Source organism: Homo sapiens, chromosome 18, assembly GCF_000001405.40.
Source record: "Homo sapiens chromosome 18, GRCh38.p14 Primary Assembly".
NCBI classification, from domain to species: Eukaryota; Metazoa; Chordata; class Mammalia; order Primates; family Hominidae; genus Homo; species Homo sapiens.
In genome coordinates this window covers 76,607,004-76,617,240 of record NC_000018.10, presented here as the reverse complement: position 1 = coordinate 76,617,240, position 10,237 = coordinate 76,607,004, and the positions used below count along the sequence as shown (strand labels likewise).

At 47.1% G+C, this 10,237-nt stretch overlaps 1 annotated feature.

Moving 5' to 3' along the window:
- Positions 4,960-5,473: an enhancer, noted in NCBI's record as "H3K27ac-H3K4me1 hESC enhancer chr18:74323725-74324238 (GRCh37/hg19 assembly coordinates)". NCBI's record gives its function as "activates a minimal SCP1, AML or CMV promoter by ChIP-STARR-seq in primed H9 embryonic stem cells {active_cell/tissue: H9 hESC(primed)}" and the evidence as "EXISTENCE:reporter gene assay evidence [ECO:0000049][PMID:30033119]".

The window sequence follows — 10,237 nt, the reverse complement described above, 5'->3', positions numbered from 1 at the left end:
CATGTTTTTTTCTTTTTCTTCTTCTTATTTTTTAAACTTTTTTTATTTATTTATTTTTTTAGATGGAGTCTCGCTCTGTTGCCCAGGCTGGAGTGCAGTGGCACGATCTCAGCTCGTTGCAACCTCCACCTCCCAGGTTCAAGCGATTCTCCTGCCTCAGCCTCCTGAGTAGCTGGGATTACAGGTACCTGCCACCACGCCCGGCTAATTTTTGTATTTTTAGTAGAGATGGGGTTTCACCATGTTGGCCAGGTTGGTCTTAAACTCCTGACCTCAGGTGATCCGCCCTCCTCGGCCTCCAAAGTGCTAGGATTACAGGAGTGAGCCACCGCACCCGGCCTATTTTTCTTATTTTTTTTTAAAGCAGAATTATTTGCTCAAAAACCTTGTTATCAGAATTACAGTTTATATCCAAATGAAAATACAGCCATCCTAGCTCAAGCCATGATGGGCTGAGGCTCATCTCCCCACACCCTGCCTTCTCCATCACCCCCAGTCAAGTGGTCTTGGAGACTTCTTCAGAGGACGAAGACTTCAGCCCGCAGGGTAGGAGGAAACGGGGCCTGCTTGACCGCTGGGACCCTGTCCATTAGGAACAGTTTTTGGAAAGCCATTTGGCAATATTTATCAAGATCTAAAACACACATGTCCTTTGGCCCATCAGTTTTACTTCCAGGAATTCATGCAACGCAGATGCTTGCATCAGTTTACAGAGATGCCGGCACAAGCATATTCAGTTCAGAGTCTCATGGCAAAATTTTGGAAACATTTAAGTGTCCATTGATAAAGGGCTGCTTAAGTAAGCGATAGGACTGCCAGACAATGGGATACTAGGCACTTCTTTAACAGTTAGGCACTTGAATTGACATGGAGATGTTTATTGTCCCTTAAACAAAGCGAGCTGCAAAACACCACTTAAAGTTTGATCCTATTTTTGCCAAAAAGAAAAAAAGATGCTCACATATATACTTTACTGGTCCTAGAAGGTTTCTGCACAGTGGTAACATGATTTCCCTTTGGAAATTAGCAATGAGGAAGGTGAAGTCAGTGAAGGAATCAAGAGGTTTTAATTTTTAAATTTATATCACTCAATATTTTTAAACTGCTTTCAACCATTTTATGATGAATCACTTTTTTGTGTTGGGATACAATTCACATACCATGACATCTACCACTTTAAAGTTTACAGTGCAGCAGTTCTTAGTATCTTCATGACATCGTGCACTGGTCACCACCGCTCTTGGGACCGCAGCACCACAGGTCCCCTTGCTCTAAGCCCTCTCCCCCACAGCCTTGGGCCCTCCCCCTGTTCCAATGCCCTTCCCATCCCCCTTCCACCTTCCCTGACTCCCTGCCCCTCTGCATGCCCCTCTTCCTACCTCTTAGCACCTCACTGCTGACAGACGCGTCGCTGCCTTGGTCCCTCTGCCTCCCCATCTAGAAACTGAGTCCCAAGCACTTGTTTGCTTCCTGCAATATCTCTGGCATCTAGAACAGCATCTTGAACAGCATCTTGTAACGGAGACTGCCGTTAAGATCAGCCTCTGTGGACTTGGCGAACTGGATGGTCCTTTGCCCTGAACACCCCTTCCACATTTCCAAGTGCCTGCCAGATGTTTCTTTCTATATGATTGGCCAGCACCCTTAATCAACATGTTCACAAAACAAACACACACAACAAACCCTCACTGTATCCCACTCACGTTTTCACGGCCCAGCCCCAGGTGGAGGAGGGAGCGGAAGGTCTCCAGCGATTTCCTTCCCCGTCGATCCTACACCACGCGCATGAACATGCTTGCATCCTCAATTCCGGGCTTCCAGAGACTGGCCTGATGTACCACCAAACAAAACCAGAGAGAGACAAGGGCCACTGCCACTTGTGGACCTGAGGCACGCGGGGAGATTGCACGCAGCTTGCAAATCCCACAAAACACGTAATTAAATCGCTAAACCTGTGAGGCTCAACAATCTTAAATGGGTCTGACTCATCCTGGTGCCTGTTTGCAGCATCATAGCAGAAAATGTACTTGAGGAAACAGAAAAAAAGACTGAGAACAAAATAAAATGTCAGTGAAATGAAATGTCAGATGTGCCTTTCCTTATTCATCTTCCAGCCAGAAAGACCCCAACAGGGCCAGCTGATCACTCATATGTTTTTAGGGTGTTTTTTTTTGGTACAAATTCAAGGCTAGAGATTCCTTTGGACAAATTCATTTCCAGAAGGCAAAGAATTTCCCTTTGGATTTTATGCAATCAGAAGAGAAACCAGAATATATAATGAAGTGTTTAAATAATATCAACTTAATTTTGAACTGTTTTGGTTCATTTACTTTTTTATCTTTATACTTGGAGAAAATCTGAAAATTCAGGCTTCTACCATGGCAGGAAGGGATCCCTAGACAACCTGAGACTGAGCTGCTGGCTTCTCAAACCCCCTTTTTAAGACTGCTTCTGCCTCTTGCTGCAAATTTAGAAGGTACTTTCTCCTATAACCTAAAGTTACACCTGTTTCTGCATCTACGTATATGAATGTGTAGCTGGGTGAGGGACGATGACTGCCTTCAAATTGCTTACATTTTTTTCTAGAGCGAAAGGAAGCAAAGAAAACAGGGGGCTCAGGTGCCTATAAAAATGGAGGCGTCGGCCGGGCGCGGTGGCTCACTCCTGTAATCCCAGCACTTTGGGAGGCCGAGACGGGCGGATCACGGGGTCAGGATATCGAGACCATCCTGGCTAACACCGTGAAACCCCATCTCTACTAAAAATACAAAACATTAGCCGGGCATGCGAGACTCCGTCTCAAAAAAAAAAAAAAAAAAAAAAAAAGGAGGCGTCAAAATTGCTACTGAGTCTGGACGGGAGGAACTGCAGGATGTGCCAGGCTGGCTCTGCAGCCAGAAGTAGCCCAAGGCAGGGTGCTTTCTCCCTGGGCAGGTGTGCAGGGCTCTCCTTTGCTCAACAGTGACACACAAGTCTGTCTTCTCCATAGATGTCCACAGCCCAGCCATAATTTTCCTGCTCGTGCCTCTTCCAGCACCTTCACTTCTATTTATGGGAGAACAATATCCTTTCAAAGCCTTGTCTGCGGGACTCATGCCCAGTATTTGAATGTACCCGAAGGGCCGGCAGCAGAGGGATGCGAGTGTACAGCCCTGGGCTTTTCTCTCCCGCGCCTCCTCCGACCCCCTTCTCGGCATGGCGGCTTTTGGCTCCCCCAGATTTCTTCCATGTCGTCTCCCCTGTTCCAGTGTCCCCTGTCCTTCCCTTTGTGTCGGGCACGCACTGCGGTTCTCGTTCTCTAGCATCAGATGGTGCAGCCGCCGCCTCTTGGCGGCCCAGCCTCCAGAGGACCCATCCGCGTGCTCAGCAGCCCCTGCCGCGAGGCGCGCACAGGTGTCCATTTTACAGATGAGAAACTGAGGCTCGGTGAGGCGCTCACCCCAACCTCAGCACCCGTGTTCATTTACAGACGAGGAACAGTGAGGCATTTACCCTGACCCAGCTAAACAATCGCCAAGTCAAGATGTGAAATCAGATCTACTTCGGGTTTAGCGCGCTCTTCCTTGGGCCTCTGCCATCTGTTTGGCTCCACGCTTTCTGTAATAACAGTTACAAGTTAGTAAGCAAGTGTTGCGTGCAGGCGCTGTCCTCACAACTTTGCTAGTAAGGGAGAGGCGGGGCTTGCACGAGACCGCCTGGCCCAGGGCCCGAGTCCTAACCCTTCTGCTCTACCTCCCTCCACTGTGAAAGACGTCTCATTTAGAAACATCTTCGTGTCCCCTGCCTCCATCCCTTTTCTCAGAGTTGATTGCAATGTTTTACAAGTTTGGCAGGAGCAAGGCAGGGAGAGAGGCGTTCCTGCTTAAATGTCCCCTCCAAAACTCATGTTGAAACTTAATCCCCAATGTGGCAGCACTGAGAAGTGGCGCCTTTAAGAGGGCACCCCCCTCATGAATGGATGAATCCCTTCATGGACTGGTGGGTTCATGGATTAATGGGTTATAACGGGAGGGGAACAGGTGGCTTTAGAAGAGGAGGAAGAGGCTTGAGCTAGCACATTGCCATGTTAACATGCTCAGCCCCCTCTCCATGTGGAGCCCTGCATTGCCTTGGTGTTCCCTATTGAGTCCCCAGTAGCAAGAAGGCCCTAACCAGATGCCACACCTCCAGCTTGGACTTCTCAGAGGCCTCCATAACTGGAAGAAATAAATTCCCTTTCCTATAAATTATCCAGTTTCAGGTATTTTGTTATAAGCAATTGAAAATAGACTAAGGCAGTTGGAAAGAGGGGATATGGGTCCAGGGAGCAGACTAATATCAGCAGGATAAAGGCCTCCCTGTGCCCTGGCCAGGTAAATACCATCGTCGCGTTTCCCGGCTCTCTCACAATTCCCCTTCAATGCCATCTGCTCCATCTCCTCCCACCTTTCCTAAGTCCACTCCAGGCAACACCTTCTCCCGCCCCATCGCACCCTGGCCACCCCACCTCCTCTGTGCTCTGGAATGGACGTGTGTTCCATGGGACTTCAGGGGAGGGAGACATCACCCATCATCTACATGCACTCAGCCATGAGCTTTTGGGCAGGGCTCATGGCACCCTCTGCCTCTCTGTGTAACTCAGCGGCACATTTTAACCTGGGGCCCCACCCCCTTTCTCCATCGGACCTGTGCGAAAGAATGAAAGAATGTGCTTGTCTTGAGACCCTGCCTCACCGGAAAAAGGATTCCCTCCCGTGATGTCCAACTCAAAGAGCTGTGTGCAGGCAGGCACCTTCAGGGTAGAGGGGACTCTACCTGGCACCCCAGAAAGTGAACCAACCACGCAGTCCCCCTCTGCCTTCCAGTGTTCCCACTTCACCCAGACTGAATGTGGGTGAGTGTATACTCCGGTCCGAATATACCAATCGCAAAAGTCCTCTCTTCCTAGATGGAGGAAGAAATTCCAATTGGAACCCCTGCCCTTGTCTGGGGAACCAGCATGACTGGGATGCAAGGATGCCATTCCTGGCCCTCTGGGCGGAAGACCACTCCTGCGGAGGGTGCCTGCTCGCCTTCAAGGCTTCGGTCGTGCTGGCGTTGGGCGCCAGGTCCTTTGGAATAACCAGTCTCCCAGGCGGCAGTCATGAGAAGGCTAATGCCCATCACTCCAGGGAGCCCACCACGCAGGCACACCGCCCCCGCCACCGCAGGCACACACGCAGGCAGACACGCAGGTACACACGCAGGCACATCGCCCCCTCCACCGCAGGCACACACGCAGGCACACACACACACGCAGGTACACACGCAGGCACATCGCCCCCTCCACCGCAGGCACACACGCAGGCAGACACGCAGGTACACACGCAGGCACATCGCCCCCTCCACCGCAGGCACACACGCAGGCAGACACGCACACACGCACACACGCAGGCACATCGCCCCCTCCACCGCAGGCACACACGCAGGCAGACACGCACGCACACACACACGCAGGCACACACGCAGGCACACCGCCCCCGCCACCGCAGGCACACACGCAGGCAGACACGCAGGTACACACGCAGGCACACACACACACACGCAGGCACACCGCCCCCGCCACCGCAAGCACACACGCAGGCAGACACGCAGGTACACACGCAGGCACACACACACACGCAGGCACACACGCAGGCACATCGCCCCCTCCACCGCAGGCACACACGCAGGCAGACACGCACACACGCAGGCACACACACAACACTTTTCTTACATAATTTACTCTTTCCTCTGACTCACGGCATGTTTCCCTCGTGTGTAATGAAACACCTCCCATTATGCACCCTGGGAACATATAAGTTCTAAAGAGAGTTGCCTGAGTGTTTACATGGGAAAAATAAGTATTTATTAAAAATAATATTTGAAGCTGGAAATAACATGCCTTGACAGTTTAGAAGAAGAGATTTGAAAGACTTTTTTTTTTTTTTCAGTTATTCACACAAACATCTTACTGTTACCATAGATACAGATCTATCCAAGGGCAGAGTCCTTCCCAGAGAAACCCACTCCGTCAGCCCCGGGCTCTGCTGCTGATGTGAGGGCGTGTGGGGAGTGGGAAGGCTCAGGAGCTGCCTTCAGCACATCCCCCCAGGTTCTCTGTTTTCCGTAGGTGACAGCAGGGCTAGCTTGGAGGAATTGGGCCAAACTGGAAACTGGAACCTGCCTGCCCGCCTGCCGCCACAGCCAGCGGAACAGAGCTTCTCCCCGGCCCCGCCACCCCAGGCAGGGAACAAGTCCTCATTTACCGGCCAAAATAAATATGCTTCCAGTCCAGAGAAGAAAGTGATTCTGGTTTTTAAGACTTGAAATCACACACTATTGTGGCTGCAGCGTTGTAGTGAGTCTTTTTGTTCTGTGTTCGATGCAGTGTATTCTCTGTGAAAAAAAAAAATAACCTGAGAACAAAACAAAACAGAAAGCACTGGGCAAGTGAGACCCTCCGGAATTCAATACAAGGGGAAAACTGAAGGCCCTTCCATCGATATGACCGAGAGAAGAGAGAGGTATTCAGAAGAAATGGGGCAAATTCAGAACCGGTGGGTCCAAGTGAATTAACTAATGTTCCCTTGAATGTGAACTTGAGCTTTAATTCTGGGTTTTGCTTTGAGCTGTGGGCTTAATCACTTAGTTCAAAAACCCCAGAGTTTCACGTTCCTTGTAAACGTAACACCTTGATCACCCATTGCAGCTCGCTTCTTCTTCTTTCATCTGCTTAATTAAGCCTAAGTCTATTTATGGGACTTAAATTTGCCCTTTGAAGTCATGAAAAAGTTTTGGAAATGGAGAGTGGTGACGGTTGCTCAACATTGTGAATGTAATTAATTGTACGCTTAGAAATGTTAAATAGCACATTTTATTATACATATATTTTACCACGATTGAAAAACAAATTTTCAACATAGCCACCCAGAAGTCTAAGAAAACCAAATTTTTTTTAGTTTAACTAAAAATAGAAACAAGAAAGGAAACCAAAATTGTAGTGTTAGTTATCCTATATTTTGCAAAATGCTTATGTTAGCATTTATTTATTTATTTGTTTGTTTGTTTGTTTATTATTTGTTTGTTTTTGACATGGAATTTTGCTCTTGTTGTCCAGGCTGGAGTGCAATAAAGCAATCTTGGCTCACTGTAGCCTCTGCCTACCGGGTTCAAGTGATTCTCCTGCCTCATCTCCCGAGTAGCTGGGATTACAGGTGCCCAGCACCACACTCAGCTAATTTTTGTATTTTTAGTAGAGACAGGGTTTCACCACGTTGGCCAGGCTGGTCTCAAACTCCTGATCTCAGATGATCTGCCCACTGCGGCCTCCTAAAGTTCTGGAATTACAGGTGTGAGCCACTGCGCCCAGCCTTATGTTAGCATTTAGCATGGTAAGATAAGCATTCATGTGGAACCAACCCAAATGCCCATCAATGTGGAACCAACCCAAATGCCCATCAATCAATGAGTGGATAAAGAAGCTGTGGTATATATACGATGGAATGCTATGCAGCCATAGAAAGGAATGAATTAATGGCATTCACAGAGACCCAGATGAGATTGGAGACTATTATTCTAAGTGAAGTAACTCAGGAATGGAAAACCAAACATTGTATATTCTCACTCATAAGTGGGAGCTAAGCTATGTGGATACAAAGGCATAAGAAGGACACAGTGGACTTTGGGAACTTGGGGAAAGAATGGGAAGGGGGTGAGGGATAAAAGACTATAAATAGGGTACAGTGTACACTTCTCGGGTGATGGGTGCACCAAAATCTCACAAATCACCGCTACAGAACTTACTCGTGACCAAACACCACCTGTTCCCCAATAACCGATAGAAACAACAAATTTAAAAAATAATAATAAACTTACACTTTTTGAGGACAAAAAAAGAGATGACCTTTTTGTGTGTGTAGAACAATTCAAGAATAAAATGAATTGCTTTACTTTAGGGGAAAAGAAATGAAACAAGTTGTGCTTTGGGGGCCATGGTTGGCAGCAGAAGGCAGCACCACGTGGTGGAATGCAGCCTCTCTGTTGCCTGGGAGGCCGGTCCTCAAGTGGTCCCAGGACGGGGACACAGCAGGTTTCAAGTGTTTGGTCCTAGTCCCTGGGTGACAACCCCACTTGCTCCCATCACCTGGGTAGCTCAGGCAGCCCTCTCTGAAGAATGCCGTCAGCATTACCCATGGTCGCCCTTGTAAAGGCCAACTTTGTCTGAGCCAGGTCAGTGTTCCTTGAAAGGGTTTTAAAAGGGCAGACGTGGAAGGCAAGGATGTGGGGAGCAGAGACTTGAGTCTCTGACGCTAGCAGAGGGTCTAGAGAAATCTGATCGGGATTTGTATACCCTAAACTTGTGTTTCTCCGAATCTGGGTAGAATATCACAGATCCATTTTCACTCTTTCCACCATCTCTCTTTCAAAAAAAAAAAAAGTTTGTGAAATCCAGTTAGAAGTTTAAACCTACACAATTTAAATATTCCACATAGAAATCACAATATTCTAGGATAAACACTGGCGAAGTCTTGATTACTGGTGAAGAAAGTCAGGATGACCCATCCCTGTCTGAACAGAGCAGAGGTGGTACTGATATTGACACTTCCCTTCATATCCTGGGCTGTGTATAGAGGCCCTTTCTACTTGTTTATGTTAATGATGCCCCTTCTGGATGCAATTGTTATTTGCATATGTGGATTTGATAGAAAAGATCAAAATGTGGCCAATCATTCCGTCTATTTGGTGTATGTGTGAGGATTGTATTTTATTTTTAATTAATTAATTTATTTGTTTGAGACAGGGTCTCACTCTGTTGCCCAGGCTGGAATACAGTGCTGCAGTCATAGCTCACTGTAACCTCTGACTCCTGGCCTCAAGCAATCCTCACACCTCAGCCTCCCGAGTAGCTGCACTACATGTGTGTGCCACCATGCCTGTAGTCCTTTTGAAAATTTTTTTCTTTTCTTTTTTTTTTTTTTGAGACAGAGTTTTGCTCTTGTTGCCTAGGCTGGAGTGCAATGGCGCGATCTTGGCTTACCACAACCTCTGCCTCCTGGGTTCGAGCAATTCTCCTGCCTCAGCCTCCCAAGTAGCTAGGATTACAGGCGCCCACCACCACGCCTGGCTAATTTTGTATTTTTAGTGGAAACAGGGTTTCTCTGTGTTGGTCAGGCTGGTCTCGAACTCCCAACCTCAGGTGATCTGCCCACCTAGGCCTCCCAAAGTGCTGGGATTACAGGCGTGAGCCACCGCACCCAACTTAAATTTTTTTTAAAAAAATTAAAAAATAATAATAATTAAAAATTTTTTTGCAGTAGTGAGGCCTCACTATATTGCCCAGGCTTGTCTTGAACTCCTGGGCTCAAGCAAACGTCCCACCTTGGCCTCCCAATGTGTGGGGATTACTGGCCTGAGCCACCATGCCCAGCCTGTGTGAGGATTTTAAAGATAAACACCTAATTTGTTTGGAGGACAAAATCCACCCAGGTGGTGCTCCACACCACTTACTTTGTGTAGCCACAGCCCCTGATGAAATTGGCAGCCGATGGTTAAAGGGAATCAGCATTGCCTTGGTACACAGCCCTTGGACACCAGCGCCAGCCATGGCCATTTGTCTTGGTATTGTGAATGTTGAGTGTTTTAGGGGACATGGTTACTTTTATGATTTGTAGCTGTCAAAATAGGCCATCTTTTCATCTTTTCAAGAGTCAGTACTAGATACCTGGGTAACAATGGGAAAAAGATGACTCCACCACAGGGCAGATGGGGAGGCCTTCAGCAGTATCTTCCTCACACGGTGGTGTTTGAGGAGAACTCACTAAGGGCAAAGTTTTAAAAAAGTAAAAATCACCCCAAAATTACACTTAAAATATACTTTTGAGGTTAACCTCATATAAATTCCTGATTTGCAGGACAGGGGGAATGTAGATTTTAAACCTCCTTAAAATTACATATACAACTAAACATATCTTAACTCCTAGGATATACTTATAGCAATTTAATATATGAGAAAGTACTTTGAAAAAAATAGTATTATGCATATAAATAAAATTCTATTGGAAATAAATGAATTCTCATTTAGTACAGATTTTCAAAATATTAATGGATCCAGGTTTAATATTTTTGCAAAAAGCAGTGTTTAAGACCTTATTTTTCCATATTAAAGGATACATTCTTATATTGTCCACATGCAAAAAAAAGAGGCATATACCTGACTTTAACATTAAGACTGGTACTC